General features: G+C 55.1%; 1 protein-coding gene across 4 annotated transcripts in view, besides 5 other annotated features; it reads left to right on the top strand.

Annotated features, from left to right (window-relative positions):
• Nucleotides 1–19,210, top strand: part of OLFM1 (olfactomedin 1) — a 45,680-nt gene that overhangs the window by 2,025 nt on the left and 24,445 nt on the right. For 2 of the 4 annotated variants that reach the window (NM_014279.7, NM_006334.6), the window contains exons 2-3: nt 12,666–12,815; nt 18,335–18,490. In NM_014279.7, coding sequence (NP_055094.2) covers nt 12,666–12,815; nt 18,335–18,490 — 306 coding nt within the window. Of the gene's footprint in view, nt 1–9,730; nt 9,914–10,138; nt 10,611–12,665; nt 12,816–18,334; nt 18,491–19,210 lie in introns of those variants that run through there. The other 2 variants (NM_001282612.1, NM_001282611.2) reach the window with 2 other exon arrangements.
• Nucleotides 8,439–9,299: an enhancer, noted in NCBI's record as "H3K27ac-H3K4me1 hESC enhancer chr9:137977814-137978674 (GRCh37/hg19 assembly coordinates)". NCBI's record gives its function as "activates a minimal SCP1, AML or CMV promoter by ChIP-STARR-seq in naive H9 embryonic stem cells {active_cell/tissue: H9 hESC(naive)}" and the evidence as "EXISTENCE:reporter gene assay evidence [ECO:0000049][PMID:30033119]".
• Nucleotides 9,300–10,160: an enhancer, noted in NCBI's record as "H3K27ac-H3K4me1 hESC enhancer chr9:137978675-137979535 (GRCh37/hg19 assembly coordinates)". NCBI's record gives its function as "activates a minimal SCP1, AML or CMV promoter by ChIP-STARR-seq in primed H9 embryonic stem cells {active_cell/tissue: H9 hESC(primed)}" and the evidence as "EXISTENCE:reporter gene assay evidence [ECO:0000049][PMID:30033119]".
• Nucleotides 10,795–11,599: an enhancer, noted in NCBI's record as "H3K4me1 hESC enhancer chr9:137980170-137980974 (GRCh37/hg19 assembly coordinates)". NCBI's record gives its function as "activates a minimal SCP1, AML or CMV promoter by ChIP-STARR-seq in primed H9 embryonic stem cells {active_cell/tissue: H9 hESC(primed)}" and the evidence as "EXISTENCE:reporter gene assay evidence [ECO:0000049][PMID:30033119]".
• Nucleotides 11,600–12,403: an enhancer, noted in NCBI's record as "H3K4me1 hESC enhancer chr9:137980975-137981778 (GRCh37/hg19 assembly coordinates)". NCBI's record gives its function as "activates a minimal SCP1, AML or CMV promoter by ChIP-STARR-seq in naive H9 embryonic stem cells {active_cell/tissue: H9 hESC(naive)}" and the evidence as "EXISTENCE:reporter gene assay evidence [ECO:0000049][PMID:30033119]".
• Nucleotides 14,424–14,581: a silencer, noted in NCBI's record as "fragment chr9:137983799-137983956 (GRCh37/hg19 assembly coordinates)". NCBI's record gives its function as "represses an EF-1alpha promoter that drives an FKBP-Casp9 reporter gene in an ReSE screen in HepG2 liver carcinoma cells {active_cell/tissue: HepG2}" and the evidence as "EXISTENCE:reporter gene assay evidence [ECO:0000049][PMID:32094911]".

Consider the following 19,210-nt stretch of genomic DNA (forward strand, 5'->3'; position numbering starts at 1 on the left):
AGCCCCTGGTCACACCCCTGCATCCTCACACCTTAGAGTCAGGGCCCAGCCAGCCACCTTCAGGACCCTGGTCAGCTCCGCCAGCCCACAGCCTCCGCGGGTCAGGAAGGGAAATGCTGCTGTTTTCTTTGCTGGCCTGGCATGTTCCTCTCTCTGAAGCTGAACCACAGGCTGTCTCAGGGGAATGTGTCCCTTGACTCAGCCAGGAGGCACCTCCCACCCTCATGGTACAGCTCCACCTTCCCCAGGCTGGCTTCTGATAATTGTGCTTTCGGAATCTTGCATTGGAGGCCAGTTATCCTAATGTGTTGGGATTTTGGAAAAAAGCCTCAGCAGGTGAAATCACGTCAACGTTTCTGAGTCTCTGAAGGGGGCAGAGAGTGGCTGGCTCAGCACCAGCACCCGAGAGCCTGGCTACCCTAGTCCCCACCTGGGTGGGCCCCACTGGGGTTATGCCAGGTGACTTTCATCTTTGACCTCTAAGATGGCATCTGGGGTCGGGAATGGGTGTGGGGGCAGGACCAGCCTGCTCTGATTCCAAGAGCTACTGGGGGACATCCATCCCCAAGCATCTTACTTTCTTGATTCCAAAGTTATGCGTTGCGGGTTCCCTGAGCAATGCTGCTCATATTTGTGAGTGAGTGAAGAAGCATGTCTGGGCTTCAGGATAGGGTGCTGGAGCTGCCTGGTGTCTGCCTCCCGCTTCCACTGTAGGTAAATTGCTCCAACAGCCACATCCTTGCTTTTAGCTCCTTCCAAGGGATGGACATGCGATTCTAGGGCCACTGTGTTTCTAAATGAGCATACGTCGACATAAGAAGATGTCAGAAACGCCTGGATCCTACCTGCACTTAAGAAATGCTGCCTGGAGGATTCAGGCGGACAGGCAGGGGGAGTGGAGCACATGGCGGGGCCATCTGTTCTCCCGACAGCTTACTTACGATGAGACACTCAATCAAACACCAACCGTTGATGGATGGCCTACGACACGCAAGGCTGTGGGGCCAGGTGAACTTTGTCCTCAGACAGAAAGACATTTCACATGGTCTTGCTCTGTGATTTTCAACAAAAGACTGGTATTTCATGCTCTTAGAGAAGCAGGGTAAAGTGGCATGGTACTGAGCTTCCGGGGCAGGGTCCAGAGGCATTGATCTCTGGGCCTTGGGGAAGGTGGGGCAGGGCAGGGACTCCCTGGGCTCCAGGCCCACCGCCACACCCCCCAGGCTTCCCTTCAGAGTGAAGAATGTTTTTTGTACGTGATAGGGTAAAAGGGGCTGGGAAGCTTTGTAGCAACAACCTTGAACCCAGATGGCCTCATTCTCACCCCGATCCCACCAGACACTGGCTGTGTGACCTTGAGAAAGGCCCTTTAACCCCTCTGAGCCTGACCTTCCTTGTTTCACAAGGAGGATTAAACAAGATGATTCTTGAGTAAAATCCCTTCCTGCTACAGACCCCCAACCCCATTCTTTCCTTGGCTCACTCATCCTCTCCTTAGACAAGCATTTCCTGGGTACCAGCTGGTTAGATTTAACTCGGTCAATTCTGGGCTTACAATGTTAAGTGAGTCCAAACCCTTGCCGCTTGGCACCTGGGGCCGGCTTGCTTTGAGGGAAGACCCCAGGCTCTGCCATAATCATGTGTTTCAGTGGCAAAAGAAGTGTCTGCACCGAGTGCTCTGGGTAGGAGTTGGGGAGTGAGTTCTGTTTTGGAAGCTGGAGGCAGCTCTGGAGAAGGAGGATATTTGATCTGGGTCCAGGCTTGCACCTGGGTCCACTAGTGAGCCCGGGGGAAAGAAGAAGAGGACAGAGGCTGGGTACGGTGGCTCATACCTTTAAGGCCAGCACTTTGATCACTTGAGGTCAGGAGTTCAAAACCAGCCCGGCCAACATGAAGAAACCCCATTTCTACTAAAAATACAAAAAATGAGCAGGGCGTGGTGGCAGACGCCTATAATCCCAGCTACTCAGGAGACTGAGGGAGGAGAATCACTTGAACCCAGGAGGCAGAGGTTGCAGTGAGCCGAGACTGCACCACTGCACTCCAGCCTGGGCGACAGAGCGAGATTCTGTCTCAAAAAAAAGAAGAAGAAGAGGACAGAAATGGCTGCAGACAGAGGCTGCAGCAGGAAGAAGGGCCTGGAAACCCTGACTCTCACATCCAATGCTCAATCCACGTGGGTTGAGGGTATTTGAAGTGTTTGAAGATGGAAGCGGAGCTCTCCTCATTAGCCACGCATCCCCAGGCCGGGCCTGGCCTTTCCTAAAACATGACACCCCTGGATGCCCCTGGTGGGGTTCAAGCTGTCAGTGAACACAGAACAGGCTTGAGTGGCAACCGTCACTGTGACTGTTTGCCTTCAGGTTTTATTGAGTGACTACTGTTTGCTGGGTCTCGGAGTTGGGCCAGCTGTTTGCCAGTCTAGGTGCCTGCATTGAGAAGTGGGCAGACCCGGGACTGCACTTGGGGAGTTGTGGGTTGGTGTGAACAGGGCAGACGAGAAGACCAGGGAGGTGATGCTGACTTAGGCTTTCAGAGAACCCCAGTGAGGCCCATCCCTCTGAATCTGTTCCTCATCCCCCCATTTAGCTCATTCTAGAGCTGAAGACCTCACTTCACTGCCCTGAGCAAATCCAACAAGTAGAAACGGCTAAACACTTTTACCTGCTGCAACCTAAGCTTGGGCCAGGTGGTCTGGATGAGCTGTCTTGTCCCCCTGCCAGGCCCTCTTCCCCTCCAGCTTCTCTGCCCCCTCTGTTTTGGACTTGCTGGGAGGATACAGTGTTTGTAGAAGGGGATGGAGTGCACGGGTAGGGGGAAGAGTTCAGGTGAAATTGGGGTCTTTTCCTAAACCCATTATTTCAGAATACGTGGAATTCATTCAGTCTTTGCACCAAAGTTGGCTGTGGCCTCTCAGGCTGGCAATGCCTCTGGACACACGGAGGGAGAGGGGCACCCTCCCCTTTCCCATTCCCGGGCTGCCTCCCCTGGTGGAGAGGCTCCTGACACCAGGGGCGCTGAGCTGTCAATCCTGCCCATGAGACAGCTGCTCCGTCTCCTAAAGCAATTTGCTTCTCATTCCACTGACTTCAACCTTCCCCAATCAGAAGAAAGGTAATTTCCTGCCTTGGGTTGTATTTATTACTAAAGTTATCAGGCCCTGTAATCAGTATTAACATCACCGTGTAAAGTAATACAAAACTAATTACTAGCTAAACTGAATTAGATACATGGCAACCACGAGCTAGGCTGACAGGGCGAGCAGCCAATTTCCAGCTCTGAAAGATTCGTCCTGGACACCCTGCACGCTCGGAAACCTCAGCGCTGTCCCGACTGGCACCGCAGGGCGACCGAAGGGAGGGGAAGAGAGAACAGGAAGTAAAAATGCACACCTCTGAGTTTTTTTAGATTATTAAAATAATAATCTAAATATTATAAATAATAATGATAGTAAATAATATACTATATAAGATAAATAATGTAAGAAACTGGAGCCCGCCCGGAGTTAAAGCCCCAGGAATCCCGCCAGTGGCGAGGACTGATACCGCATGTCACGAGTGTAAACTTTATCATGTTGCGGCGGTCCCAGCAATCCTGGGCAGTTGTCCCCATTCTTGACCTGAGGACACACAGGCGTGGGGAGGTTAAGCAGCCTGCCCATCCACCCAGCACATATGTGATGACCCCAGATGGTGCTCTAGGTCTGTCTGACATCTGAGAAACCTAAGTTCTGGTGCTTGTTAAGACAGAAAGAAAATGCAAAGTCGAAAAACAGCGCAGTGTCACCGAACACCAGTGCAAAGGAGGTGCTGGTGCTGCTGCCGGGTCGCCGACCTCTGTGGAATGCACCACAGAGCCCATCAGCTGTGCCTTTCCGACTGTGTGGACACGTGCACGGCCGGCTGCTGACCTTGAAAACGGGCTTTTGAAGGAGAAAGCAGGGCAAGAAGGAGGGGGTCCACTTGTGGTTTCCTTGCAACCCCTGAGGATCAAAGACCCCAGCAGGCCCGTCCACCCCTTGGAAACGGGGATGCATCTAGGAGTGCCTGCCCAGCTGCCTCAGTTCTCTGGAGTGTAAGGTTAGGGGTTACGTAGGCAGCCCTGTGCCCGTTAAATGTCTCAGCATGTGCATGACAACTTGAGATCCAAGAAGTCAGAATTAGGGGCCAGGCGCACTGGCTCATGCCTGTGATCCCAGCACTTTGAGAGGCCGAGGCAGGTGGATCACTTGAGGTCAGGAGTTCGAGGCCAAGAAGTAAGAAATAGGATCTACAGGTCCTGAGCTAAGGTGGCCTCTCAGTGAGGCTCTAAACTGCCCGACACGTGCACCCGACACGCCTGCGGGTCCGGTGACCCCCTTTGTTGCACCTGGCATGCTTTGCACAAGGTGGCTGGAGGGGCTGCCATGGAGAGAATCCGCTGCGTTCGAACTGACCCGTCCTCGTGTGTGGCTGCTCACCTGGAGAAGGTTTCCTGTCCCTGCTTCTTCTGTGCTCGTGTCAAAGCTCACGCCCCTGCCTGGGCTCCAGCTGGTGATGGCAGCTGCAGTGTTAGCAGACCTGCTCGCCCCAAAAGGACATCCCAGCAGCAGGGATCTTGCCCGTATATTCCTTATGCATGGTTCAATGACAGTTAAAATCTGATTGGAGAGTGTGTAGCCATGAAAAGTTGAGATGAAAGAGTGTAAGGGGGAGATGGGAATGAGGTCGGCTCCCCAGCCCTTGTCCACATTCAGATCAGCAGTTCACAGCATCGCTTTGGGCCGTCCCTAAAGTGGTTCCATTCCAGCTAGTGGTTTTAGGTATACAAGTTGTCTTCGGGGAGTTTAAACCCTGCCGCGGGGATTTCCCTACCATACAAAATGGCTCTCCTGAGTGGTGCTGAAAAGAAAGTCTCCCCCACTTGCTTCTGGTGATGCTTCGGGGGCCTAAGAGTCAAAGAAAGAACATGAGTGTATCGTAAATAACTTTACTCCATGCACTGAAGGATGTGGTTTTTGACAGTGCAGTGGGACTCAGAAATGGGGAGCCAGCCATTTACCAACAATTTGGCTGTCAACTTGAGTCCTTGAACCCCTGCCCAGCCTCCTTCCCAGCCCCAAATATGCACACACAGGTTTCCGTTCCCAGGCCACTCAGCCTCAGCATCTTGTCCCACAGATGCACAGACTGAGTCAGCTCTGAGTGGCAGCAGGTGAGGGGTGTTGACGGACCCAGGGGTGCTTTGTTCCATCAGCAATACAAAGGATGATGAAACAGGAGATTCTCCCAGGGGCTGCAGCAGTCTTGGTGAGAGGTGGCTAAGAACGTTTCCGAGGCCAAGTCCAGGCTCCACAGGGCAGGCCCCATCAGTAATGCCCGGGAGCCTCCTGTGCAGAGGCCGGGTGTCGTCTGGATGCAAAGAACTTTGTTTGGAATCTGGCAGCACCAAATCCTTGGCTGTAAGCAAATGGTGCCACCTGGGGCATTTTCCACATTCCCAGCTGGACCCTGGGATTGACTCTTTGATGTTTCTCATCATGATGTCACCTTTGAATTCATGTCAGGATCAATGACTGATTCCACAGAAACCGGGCTGCCTTTCCCAATTAGTTACGGTGAGTTTCCTCACCTGGGAAGTAGGAAATGATTATGTTTGTGGGGTCCCTGAAAAACGTGCATTCAGCCCAGAGGGTGACGTGTCTGCTGAATTGTCTTGTCCCTGTTCTTCAAAGTACCACTCCCAGAATTGGCCTCTTTTCCATTCGGCAACTAAGGGAATACAGAGCTGTGGCTTCCCTTGGCCTGGCTGTGGCCAGGCTGAGACGATATCCATGAAAGAGGCGTGGAACCTGCCAGGGAGAGTGCGGAGGGTGCATGAAGGGTCTGGGGGGATGGGGGCCGTGGACAAGTCAGCTCTCTGGATGGACAAGGAACTAGGACTGAAGAGCTGGACACGAGGCCAACTGCTGAATGGAGGAAACGTCCCCCAGCAACAGCCATGGGTCTGTGGGATGCTCTCCCCAGGGCAAGTAGCTCCCCATCACTGTCACTGGGGGACTTGAAGAGCTGACACTGAGGGAAAGGGGGAAGGACGATACCTCGGAGGAAGTTGAATCTCCTGGGTCGGCAGCTCAGGCCAGCCGTGCTCACAAACCCCAAGCACAGTGGCTCATGATGGCAACGGTGTGCATAGGGCACAGGCTGCCTGGGGGCACCTCTGGCTCACATGTCCTGTCATTCGAGGGCCCTGGGCAAGGGAGGGGCCCTCTCTGGATCTGTTTTCCTCATGACAGAGGCAGAGAGACAGGGTGTGACTGAGACATTTGGCTCTGAAAGCTGCTCAGTCGTGGCCCTTAGCCGTTCTCCCTCCCGGGGCCAAAATCGCAGGTCACACAGCCACGCCTGATGCAGGTGGTGTTTGGGAGACTGTCAGCTTATGGGAGGTGCTGCCAGGCACAGGGAGCCGGGCCAGGATGGAAATCCTCTCCAGGGAAGGGGGTGAGGAGCAGTTACGCCTCCACCCATGTGTGAACCCAGAGGCCTCAGAGGAGGGGAGTACAGGGAACACTTGGCTCAGAAGACCCATGCTGGTCTTCTGTGGCTGCCGAGAGGGAGTGCCCAGGGGACCTGTGGCTCCTCCCATTCTGCCTGGCTTGAGGCCAGGTCCTTTCCTTGCTCCTGGAATGTTCCAGCACAGAAAGGGAATGAAAAAGCTACATACAACGTAGAAAAAGGAGAGGTGGCTCCATGTGGGACCTCTCTCTGTGTCTCTTCTCTCTCTGTGTCACTCTATCTTTCTTCTCTCTCTCTCTTCTCTCTCTGTCTCTCATCTCTCTCTCTGTCTCTCCTCTCTCCGTCTCTTCTCTCTCTCCTCTCTGTCTCTATTATCTCTCCTCTCTGTCTCTCTTCTGTCTCTCCTCTCTGTCTCTATTATCTCTCCTCTCTGTCTCTCTTCTCTCTGTCTCTCCTCTCTCTGTTTCTCCTCTCTTCTCTCTCCTCTCTCTCTGTCTCTCTCTCCATTTCTTTGTCTTCCTCTCTGTCTCCTCTCTGTTTCTTTGTCTTTCTGTCTCTCTGCCTTTGTCTCTCTCTCTCTCTCTTCTTCTCCCCTTCTCCCTCCCTTTCTTCCTCCCCTCCCCTTGTTTCCCTTCAAGATATTTGCCAATAGCCTGAGGAGAGTATGCGTATTTTTAAACAGCAACCGGGCATCCAAACTTTGTCCCTTGAGGGCATCCTTTGCCAAGGAGCATCGGGAAGTGGCCCAGAGACCTGCTTCCCTCCAAGCAGCCACTCCTGGCTCTGGGACCTGAGTAGGTTTGCATCCTGCGGACCTCACTGTTCTGACTGTGGGTGTCAGTGGTCGTCTGACTGTGGGTGTTGGTGTCGTCTGTGCCCTATCAGCTCACCATGTGGCTGTCCTAGGGCTTCTCGAGGTGATTCCCCAATAGCCCACGTGTGTCCGCCTCTTGTAAGGTCTATAGCAAGCTGGGCAGGAGCACCCTCTCACACTTGCGTCTTCTGAGCTCTGAAGCCGGGAGATGCAGAGGGGGTGTGCTTGTTTTTATGTGTGTTGATGAATTTGTACAGAGTCCACCAAGGTCAAGGCCTGTAGGGGGCTGGCATGAGGATAGAGACGTGGCTGTTCTAACCTGTCATGACAGGGAGGGTGGTGCAGGCTCGTGCCAGGACTCAGAAAGGGGTGGGCAACCTCCTGTCCTTCCCACGAGCGTGGAAGGCAAGGGCCCATGAAATGTCTTCTGGCGGCCTCTGTGGCTCGTGGAACTGTGCGGACAGCCAGGGCTGCTGTGGCCATGCAACTCATGCCACTTCTGGGGCTCGTGAGATTTAACTATGGCCATGACATTTATAAGACGAGGATGCCACCATGTGTATGGGCTTAGCCCTGGAAATAGGCTGTCACCATATGACCTTGGACAGGTCTTATCATCTTTCTAGGCCTGAGATTCCTCATCTATACAGTGGAGTCAATGCCACCACACCATGCACTTCAGTAAGGATTGGGTGCCAGGCATGGCAAAGCCCCAGTGCCACCAGGGGCGCAGCACCTGCCCCATCAGCATCCGTATGATTGTTCAGAGCTGCAGGTGTGATGAGCCCTGGCTTTAAGAGAAGTCGTGAAGAAATTGGGATTGAAAGTCCTCTTTAGGAACACTTGGTATTGCCTGGCGCCATGGATCCCCTAATCCAAATGCCTTCATTCTTCAACGATCCATACTTTCCTTCTGGAATGCTCCATGGCCTTCTAAATCCAATTACACTTACTCAAGCCTTATCTGACGACCCTTTCAAAACCATTATGCCCACTGAATCACAGATTTTAGAAACTGGACAGGACAGTTTGGAGCAGGTGCAGGTTGGAGCCGCTCAGGTGCAGGTTGGAGCCGCTCAGGTGCAGGTTAGAGCAGTCCAAGTGCAGGTTAATCTTTTACTTCGTTAAATAAATAAATGTCTATGGCTTCTGAGATGGCCTGACAGTTTTGTGGATTGGATTGGGTTGCATTTGAATTTGTTCCCGCAGAACAAGTGGTCCTTGTCCTTCCGCAGCGGGAAGCGGCGTGAGTGATCTGGACAGACACGGCTTGTGGCCTTGAATCGGTGTTAAACATGCATGGCCAGAGGAGGGGGGCGAAGCCAGCCCAACCGGACTTGTGTCTCCGCCTGGGCCCAGTCTGTGAGCCGGGCCTGCAGTCCCAGCTTACACTGGGAGATGGCGCCCTTCCCCAACAGTTGGAATTTCCTGGCATCCGACCCAGCCCGGCTGCCTGAGATTACAGCATTAATCAGAAAAGCAGATCTGAGGGGCTCATTTAACTAGCGGGTCTCACACCCAGCACTCAGGCCAGGATCATCTTGGCTGCAGCTGAAGTCTCTTCAGCCGAGGACTGCGCACACAGAGAGAAAAGCCCCAGGAAGGCGTTGTTCCTCTCAGGCGGGCGCCAGGGAGGCGCGCTCCTTCCGGCCCGGCGTCCGTCTTTCAAATCCCATCCAGGAAGGGAGATTAATTTTCGCCCAGGCAGAGAAGAGTGTAGTGAGTGATCTGGAGGATTCTTTCCTTCCCAAATGGCTGGGAAAGCTTAATGGAAGGCCCCGGAGGAAGTGGCTTTCATCTCCGATTAGAAGCCTTCTGTAAATGCAAAAGCCCTATTAACGTGTTTGACCCAGTCAGGCCTGCGCTTCAGGTGGGACTGACACGCGTGAGTCCTGCTGCGGTCGCCGCAGAGGGCCGGGAAGAGGGGCAGCGTGCGCCACTTGCCCTGCCTCTGTGCCTGGGCGCCATGACTCGAGCGCCACCCCTGAGTCAGTAAGGACACCCCCCAACCCACACCCCTCCACCACAGACCCCAGTCCCCGCCCCACACACCCACCTCCCCAACACCAGGTTCATGGGCGTGGTCCCTTCAGCTCCTGAGGTCCAGGCCTGAGCCCCAGACCTTATGCAGCTCCTGCCGGGTGTGCGCCCTCCCAGGGCCCTCACTGCGCACCGCGGGCCACGGCAGACCACCCCAGCCCCCGCCTTGCTGTGCAGGTGTCAGGAGTGCCGGTTGGCTCCCTTCCTCCCAAGCAAGGCCTTAGGGCACCGCGGCTGCCCTGGGATCGCAGGGGCGCCTTTAGCTCTCCACCGATGCCCCGACGCCCCCCTGGCGCTGGAGGCCCTCGCGAGTCTGGCTGCTTTTCGGAGCCTGCCCTGCCTGCTGGGTTTCAGGCGACGGCCCAGGCTGGCTGGGACCCTCGAATCACCGCGGAAAAGGGCTCCAGTAGGCAGGACGGCGCCGTCTCTCTGCCGGCAACCTTTGCCCCAAAGCGGACCCTCTGCGGGGATCGGAGAGGGATGCCCCGGCGTGAGGATGGGAGAAGCCCCGGGACGGGAGGGCCGCGGGCCGTGCCCCCAGCTGGAGTCCCCGCGCCGCCGCCGGGTATTTTATGATCTGGGGGTGGTGGTGTGTCCGTCTCCTCATGTCACCCTGATCCCAACTCCTGGGCGGACTGGAGTTTGCAGACCTCGCTGCCAGCAGCCAGGGGGCGGCGGGGAGCCGAGCGAGAGGAAAAATCCACCCATTTCCTGGGCGGATTGCGTCGGTCCCGCCCGGCCGAGCCCCGCCTCCCGGCCGCGGCCCCCGCGCGCAGCCCGCGCAGCGCTCAGAGCCGGACGGCGCTTCCCGGTGGCGGCGGAGGAGCCCGGAGGGACGCAGCCGGGCAAGGCAGGGCGCAGGGCGGGCGGCGCGAGGCGCAGGGCGCGGCGGGCAGAGGCCACCTGGCCACCTTCCCTGGCGCCCGGGGAAGGCGCGGCGATGGCCGGGGCGCGCGGGGCGGCGGCGGCGGCGGGCGGGCGGCGGCGGGCCGAGGGGGCGCGGGGACACAGCCAGGCGCCCCTGCCCGCCGCGGTGCCCGCCGCCTGAAGGCCGCCTGGGCGCGGGAGCCGGTGCCAGCTCGGAGCGGGCGCTGGAGGCAGCTCGAGGCGCGATGTCGGTGCCGCTGCTCAAGATCGGGGTCGTGCTGAGCACCATGGCCATGATCACTAACTGGATGTCCCAGACGCTGCCCTCGCTGGTGGGCCTCAACACCACCAAGCTCTCGGCGGCCGGCGGCGGGACGCTGGACCGCAGCACCGGCGTAAGTGCGCCCGCCGGCCGCCTTGGCGCGGCTCCTCCTCCTCCTCCTCCTCCCCCTCCTCGGTCCGGAGCCCCGGGCTGGGCGGGCGCCGCGCGGGACCCGAGTCGCCCAGGGAGGCGGCGGGGAGCAGGGCGGGCAAGGGCAGGCGTCGCGGGCCGGCGCAGCGGTGGCGACCCTGCTCCCCGCTCCCCCAGCCTGGGCCACTCCATCTCCGCCCGCGCGCCCCTGGGGCGGCGTTTCCTTCGTCTGGGCCCCTCGCCGCGGGGCCGGGGGAGCTTGGTGGGTTCTCGGAGGCTTGGAGTCCTGGGTCAGTAATCATGAGCCCCCCATTGAAAAGGTTAGGAAACTAAGGCTGGGGACTTGGGGACTTGTCCAAGGTCACACTCAGCGAGTGAGGGGTGGAGCCGCCGCTAGACCCTAGTCTGGGCTCGGTCCAGCGGGGACTGAGCCCGCCCTAGTTTGTAAAAGCCAGACTGGCCGGACCGGGCTGGGAGTGGGGCCCCAGCCGGTGGGCTCCGGAGCTCCTGCCCGCGCCTGCATTCCCAAAGTCCCAAGGCGCCCTTTCCTCCCCAGTCCATAGGAGGGTTTGTTCCTTCTCCTCCGAGGACGGTGCCGAGGGGCTTGGGTGGGGCCCCTGGGAGCCTGCCCTTGGGCGCTCACCCCCTCGCCTTTGCCTTCGTCTTCTGCGCGCACCCCTCCCTCCTGGCCTCTGAAATTGAAATCGCGTCTCCCTCTCGAGCCTAGCGGGAGGGGAACCGTGGCCGGGGCTGCTTCTGGGCAGAGCTGACTTAGATGGCTGAGCGAGGCTGAGCTGAAACCGCCACCCGGAGGGCCGCGCGGGGAAGGGGCCGCTGCCGGGAAGGCGCGCCCCAGACCACTGGCCCTTTAGGCTGAAAGGAGAGGTGAAGGACGTGAGTCTCCCTCCCTCTCTCTTTTTGCTGCCAGGGGTTTAGTGCCCTGCGAAGAGGGCTCCGTGGTGTGGCTCCCTCCTAAGACCCCTCTTGAGGCCGCCCTCCCTGCTCCTTCAGGAATCGGAGGGCGATTCCTCCATGATGACTTTGTTCCGGCCTGCCGGTCCCGATCTTCTGGGGTTGGGAATGAATGAGATTAAAGATATGACTACTATAGATTCTACCCGCCCAACTTCTCCTCCCCATCTTCATGCTAAAAATAGCAGAGAGATGACCTGATGCCACCGGAGGGGAGCGTGCTCAGAGACAGTAGGGCCAGCAGCAGGATGGAGCTGTGTAGGCTCAGGAGTGCCCGCCCCGGTACCTGGCAGGGCTGGGCTGCAAGGTTAGACCAGACATGGGCAGCTCCGGTTTCTTTGGTGATCTTTGGGCAAACCTCAGGACTGAGGTTGGGGGTGACCCCTGCACAGCATGTCACCAGCAATTTGGCGACCTCCACCAAATGGCTCGTGGGGGGAGCCCACAAGGAGCTGGAAACCTAGTGTTTTCTCGGGTCGGTCTGTGCCACGCTGCCGGCTGGGAGGTTGCTGTAGCTCGGGGTTCATCACAGCTCTGGGCGAATAGGCTGCTGGATCTGGGGCTGTTACAGTGGGTGCTTCGTCTGCAAGTGTCAGGGAACGGCAGGGCGAGGCTTGGTGGTGCCAGCCACCCGTGCTTGACTTACGGGAAGGATATCCTGTTTCTGAAATACGTGCCCGCTGCAAGCCACCCAGCGTTTGCTTTCCTGCCTTGCTCCTAGTCCAGCCTGTGGCCTCCAGTTGCCCCTCCCATCCACCCAGCAGATCAATTTGGCCAGACGACAAACTCCAGACATCCCTTGAGTTGAACTTAAATTTTAAGAACGTAAAGGGTCTTGCCTCTTTGACATCCTTCCAGCCCTGAGCCCCCTAACAGGAGACCTGTGCCTCTTTGTTCCCAGGGACCCTTTCTTCCCTTTGGGTCAAACATGTCTTGGGACCATTTCCTCCCATCTTTTCCTTGGGGGTGGATGTGGACAGTTTCCCCTGGTTGTTGGCTCTGATACACAACCTCATGGTCTCCCTTTCTCTCCTTCCCTCTCCCTTCCCGCCCCGCCCCTCTCCAGGTGCTGCCCACCAACCCTGAGGAGAGCTGGCAGGTGTACAGCTCTGCCCAGGACAGCGAGGGCAGGTGTATCTGCACAGTGGTCGCTCCACAGCAGACCATGTGTTCACGGGATGCCCGCACAAAACAGCTGAGGCAGCTACTGGAGAAGGTGAGTCTGCGCAGAGTGTGTGAGTTTGTATGTGTGTGTGTTTGTGTGTGTGTGTGTGTGTGTACATGCCTGTGTGCTCACACCAGCACCAAGGCTTGGCTAGCTTGCAGGCCCCATTTTGACTCTTTCCTGGTTTGTCTCCACTCAAAATATTTGTGAATGAGTGAAAGGGTGGATGGACGGATGGGTGGATGGGTGGGTGGATGGATGGACGGATGGGTGGATGGGTGGGTGGACACACAGGTGGATTGAGACTTCCAAGGGTGGTCCAGGAAGAGAGGACTAGACCTGCCCCCTGTCACCACAGGCTCCACTGAGAAGTCACATGGGCATGGTGAGACGGGACACAAGGCTCGTCTCTGAGTGATGTCATAATCTGTGTGCACAGGGCTGGGGCTGTCACCCAGCAGCTACCTTGGAGAGCGCCCATAGGCCCAGGAATGCATGGCCATTTGGATTTTACGAGATGAGATCTTTTTTCTGCCCTTGAATGGTTGTACCTGGCCAGTGGCTGGACAGGTGCTCATCACCATGAATGCCTTCCTGGGGCTAAAGCAGGCCATGCTGTCACCTTCAGAACCACATGGGAACAGCAGGTTTGCATATGTCGTTTGCATAACATATTTTGAATCCGTTATTTCACTTAATCTTCACAAGAACCATGTGAAGTTGGTGAGATTTTTCACTCCAGTTCAAGAAAAGGAAATTTGGCTCCCAAGGGGTGGACTTATTTGTCCCAAGCCAAACAGCTGTTAGTAGGGAAGTGGGCACTCGGACCCACATGGCCGAGCTCATCACCTGGTTCAGTCTCCTCCACTCCCCACTTTAGTCAGGGGGCCTTCTCCTAATGGGCACAGCCCACCAGCCTTTTGGCACATTCCACCCAAGGACCCCGTATTCTGTGGTTAACCTGGGTTCTGGGGGCCCCATAGGAGAGTTACCAAGGGAACAAGGAGGAATGGTGGGCCCTTCTGTTCCACCCATTGATTCCCCAGAAGAAAGGTGCATTTGCATGTAGTGCCTATGGGCAGGGAACTTTCCCACCCTGAGGGAGTGGGGTCACACCACACACACGCACACTCACAAACACACTCACACATAGTCACACACACACTCACACACAGTCACACACATTCACACATAGTCACACACACATTCACACAGTCTCACACACACATAGTCACACAGTCACACTCACATAGTCACACACTCATAGTCACACACACACACAGTCACACACTCACAGTCACACACTCACACATAGTCACACAGTCACACACACTCACATAGTCACACACACTCACATAGTCACACACACACAGTCACACACTCACACATAGTCTCACACACACACAGTCACACTCACACATAGTCACACACTCATAGTCACACACACCCACACATAGTCACACACACTCACACAGTCACACACACACTCACACATAGTCACACAGTCACACACACTCACATAGTCACACACACTCACAGTCACACACACACTCACACATAGTCACACACACTCACACACAGTCACACACACACTCACACATAGTCACACACACACACACATAGTCACACACGTTCACACACACACAATAGTAAAGCCGTGACTCTTCCTGCAGGTTGGCCTTGGACTTTCTGGAATGGGCGTCAGCTCAGGAGTATGGCAGGAGGCCTGTGAGGGGCGGGGGGCCTCTGTGACTCAGGGCTGGCTCCGTGCTGGGGGGACAGATGGTGCTGTCACTGCCCACCTCGTTGGGGAAGGTGGGAGCAGCCTGGTGAGAGGACAGCATTGACCCGACTCGGGTCCACATTCCTGGTGCTGAACCACAAACCCTCAGGAAGCTCGAGACAAAGCAAGTCCCCTTCCTTGGAGAAGGAGAGGGTGGGCTAGAGGTTTCGAGTGCCCACCCAGCTCTGACGGGCCTTGAAAGGTCCGAGTCACTGCCTGTTCTGTGTCCCAGTCCCTGTCTGGAATGGCCACAGGACCCTTGTTTCTTGGGCAAGAAGGATGCATCATGGTACGCAGGGCAACTGGCCTAGTTCGTAAAGCACGCTCACCTTGAAGGAATAGAATTTGTTTTTTCTTTAGCCACCTGAGTAAATCATTTTAAAAGAATTAAAGTAAGATACATTTAACATTCCACCAACATTTATTAACACCAAACTAGACCAAAGCCTAACTGAGCCTTTAATTATTCAGAAGCTTAGATGGGGGAGGCGGCACTTGGAGGGGCCTCTGGGCTGTGGGGGCCGGCGAGAGTCAGGAGGGGAAAACAGAGCCCTGAGCCCAGGGAGGAGGCATTTGCGGGGAGAGCAGAGAGTTGGGAAATGGATTCCAGAATGCTCCATGAGCCCCTGGGACTGCAGGCCCTGGAATGTTCCTTCCTGCCTGTGCGTGCCACAGCATTACTGCTTAAAAATTTAAAGCCCCATTTGATACCATAGCGGGCACTCTATTTTCAGAGGGCATGAGCCATTTGCTATGAAAGAGGGCCCTTGCTCCTTAATGCACTGTGCATTTTAGCAGGAGGCAGCGCTGCTCCGTCCTCAGCTTCCCCCGCACACCCTGGCCTGTGTGCTATTTTCTTTCTTTCCTCTTTCTCTTTTCTTCTCTTGCTTTCTCTTCATGGGCAGAAGCAGGACAGGGTGCTCCAGAAACCTCAGCCCATGTGCCCTGTTGATAGGGCTGGGTCACAGCTGAGCATATTCCAGCCAGGTCGGTATTTCTGTGCCCTGGCTTCACCTTTAACCCACCTGGTGAGGCTGCAAGGTACTGAGTCCCAGGCCCCACCTCCAGAGTCTCTGATTTCTGTTGCCCTGGGGTCCCTGTGGGGAACCCAGGTATGTACAGCCCTGGAAGCCTCACCAGGTAGTTCCATGCAGCTAGGGTCGAGCACTGTAGGGACACAGATAGTGGCAGGCGTGTGGCACGGGCTCCGTTCTCTTTGAAGAAGCACTTGGCTCTGGGTTTGAGAGTGTAGGCTTTGGAGCCAGTCCAGCTTGAACTGGCAGGCCTCCTGGCTGGGTGACAGTAAGCAAGTTGCTTAACTTCTCTGAGCCTTGGTCTCCCTATGTGTAAAATGGGACTCAAAATAGTACTTATTCATTTCCCGGGGTTTTGTAAAGATCAAATGAGATAAATAACACAGCAGACTCAGTGCAGTGCCTGGAACATGGGAAAGGATGGATAATTATTAGCTGTTAGTTATCTTGAGGCCAGGTGTGTCTTTGTGTGTTGCTGGCCCCCCTCCCGCTTCTTAATGCCTGCTGCCCCGTTGGGTAGGGTGTGGGATAGACTGTCATCCCGTAGCTCTGTGACCCTGAGCCTGCCAGTTGGCTCCTCAGAGACACATCCTGCAGGCAAGAAAATGAAGGTGCTCAGAGGAAGGGCTGTGCTCAGAGGAATGCCTTCCCTAGGGTTGGGAGATGGGTGCGTGATTGCAGTCCTAGACTGACTGTGAGCTGGAGGCAGACCTGTGCCTGTGCCTTGTCCATGGCCAGAAAGGAAAGTGCATTCAGGGTTAGGAGAACTATAGGAGAGTAATTGTTTGGTTTTAAGGCAGCTGAATAGCTTGGTATCTTTAAAATTTGTTTTTTAAATCTAAAGTCTAATCTTTGAAATCTTTTAAAAGCATTCCTTCTCTGGGGAGCAAAAAGCCTACAGCACCGTGTGTGGTCTCCTGACTGAGGCCAGCATGAGCTCAGCAGCTTCTCCTCGGCACTTGTGGGCCTTCGCTCCTGGGGATTTTGCCAGGAGGGGAATGGAGAGAGGGGTCTGGACTGGCGCCGCCATTTGTATTGTTGCTTCCTCCGGCCATGTGGCTGCAGGAGCTACTCCCGTGCACTAGATTTACTGGACTTTGTGCAGGGGTTACAGATGTGGATGAGACCCAGTGTCACTCCCCCCATGAGCATCCTGTCCGGAAAGCTGTGGGGGGACAGCTGTGTGGCTCACTCCTAGGCAGACATTGTGCCAACAAAGTGACGTTGTTGTTTCCAAATAGTTTGCAGCTAGTTTTAACTCAGTCCATCAGAGAAGCCTCCCTGGAGGAGGTGGCATTTGGGCTGGGCCTTGAAGGACGAATATAGACAAACTTTACATCTTTTCTTGAAAAAGGTGCTGTAGTTATTCAAAGTGACAGAGGAAGACAACAAGAGAATCAGGCAGGTGGTATTAGAGGTATGCTTCCGTTTCTCGGGGAAGAGAAGGGGTGAGAGGGAGCTGAAGCCACCCCGTCGTGTACTTTACAAACTTAAAATTTCAAGATGAGTTTGTGTGTGTTACTTTCTGATAACAAGATATGAAATTCCTTGCATTTTGGGGTGCTGAGATTGGCAATAGTGGTTTTCCTTCTACTGAGGAGGCTTGGTTTGCTCTCTTGTATTTTACTTTATTTGGCGGGGTGGAGGATGTATAGTAAGAAGTAGAAACCACACTGTCCTCTTTTCACACTGACCGGCAAAGCTAAGCCTCATCCCCAAATGATTTTGTTCCTAGAAGGGAGAGTATTTTCAAATTCAGCAGAAAAGTCAGGAGTGAAGATTTGCTGTCATGGAGGTAACTTCCTCTCTAGTAATTGGATTAGATTCTGAGAAAATGACCCAAACACCACTGCAGCAATCCTCAGCTTCCTCCCGCCTCCCCGCAGCCCCGAATGCATTTGCACAGAAGCACACACCAGTTTCCTGCAAATAAAATGCACTGGCAGGTGGCTGCACTAAAACTGTTTTTCTTTTAAGCTCCCTGGAATCCTGTTGAATATTAAAGTTCCATCTTGAGGCTAGACTCAATTCAGATCTGCCTGTAAAGATGTAAAACAGCGATTCTTCATTTGCTGGGTGATTGATTCCTGACTCTATGCTCAGAATGTACATGTTTGCAGAGCAGTCATCTACCTATGATACTGTGGGGTGTGATGGATGGCATAGCAGATAGGGAAAAAAGCTTGATGCAGAGTCAGGGAGAGCAGCTCCCTTGTTCCTTCACTCTGCACTTAAGTAATCAACCTTATCAGCAAGACAGTCAATGAGATTTAGGAAGAAGGAGAATTTATACCTGGGGGCGGGGCAGCCTAAGAGTGCCATTCCTCTCTGCTGGTGTTTATGCTTGCCTAACTAATGTTGTCCTGCAACAGAAAGACTAGGAACAATCCCCACCCACCACTACCAAAAAAAAAAAAAAAAGAGAGAGAGAGAGATCAAGAGAAATCACCCAGCCTGTGCCTGGAGCTACAGCGAATAACGGAACTTGAGTCTCCTACACCCCTGATTTGCATCCCTGATGATAAGAACAGGTTGGCAAAGAAAATGTTTACCCAACCAATTTGCTGTGTTTGGGGAGTTATCAGTCCTCACAGTCCGCGATGCTGGCGATTACCTTGTAAATAATGCATGGGCCACTTCTGGTTCCCAGTGTGCTGGCTGTGTGGGAAAGGGCAATGTCTGTACGAGCAGGCAGAGAAGATTGCCTGGCACCTACTGCGGCTGTTTTGCTGAACCTGTTGCCCTTTTGACAGGTGCAGAACATGTCTCAATCCATAGAGGTCTTGGACAGGCGGACCCAGAGAGACTTGCAGTACGTGGAGAAGATGGAGAACCAAATGAAAGGACTGGAGTCCAAGTTCAAACAGGTGGAGGAGAGTCATAAGCAACACCTGGCCAGGCAGTTTAAGGTATGCATGTTCCTCCCCCTCTCCCTCCCCTTATCCTCCTCCTCCTCCTCTTCCTCCTCCTTCCCCTCCCTCCTCTCCTCCTTCTCTTCTTCCTCCTCCTCTTCTCCTCCTCTTGCTCCTCCTCCCTTCATCCTCCTCTTCCTCCTCCCTCTCCTTCTTCTCCTCCTCTTCCTCCTCCTCCCCCTCTTCATCCTCCTCTTCCTCCTCCCTCTCCTTCTTCTCCTCCTCTTCCTCCTCCCTCTCCTTCTTCTCCTCCTCTTCCCCCTCATCCTCTTCATCCTCCTTTTCCTCCTCCCTCTCCTTCTTCTCCTCCTCTTCCTCCTCCCTCTCCTTCTTCTCCTCCTCTGAGGCTGGGTGTGCTTTCCCTTCATGCTCTCCCTTTCCCTACAGAAATGGTCATTTGGGGCAGGGAGAAGCATAGCAAAGGTTGTTCTGTGCCTTGAAAGGACTGTTGCCCTTGGCAGTAGGGAGGCCACCACTGGCCCTGGCTTGGCAGAAGCCACCTTGACAGGGGCGGCCTGAGTGGTGGCAGCAGCATACACTCGCCCCCAAGCCCCCGTCAGTGTGGTTTGGAAGCCAGGGGTCTGAGATCCTGCGCTGCCCGAGCCAAGTCGAATATTAGCTGGGAAGGGACATCGTTATTGGCCCTTGTCATTCTGCAGCTGCTGCAGGTAAATCACATTAGCCAAAGATTAGCTGAATTGATGAGGGCCATTCTGG

This window comes from Homo sapiens, chromosome 9, assembly GCF_000001405.40.
Source record: "Homo sapiens chromosome 9, GRCh38.p14 Primary Assembly".
In the NCBI taxonomy this organism is placed as follows: domain Eukaryota; kingdom Metazoa; phylum Chordata; class Mammalia; order Primates; family Hominidae; genus Homo; species Homo sapiens.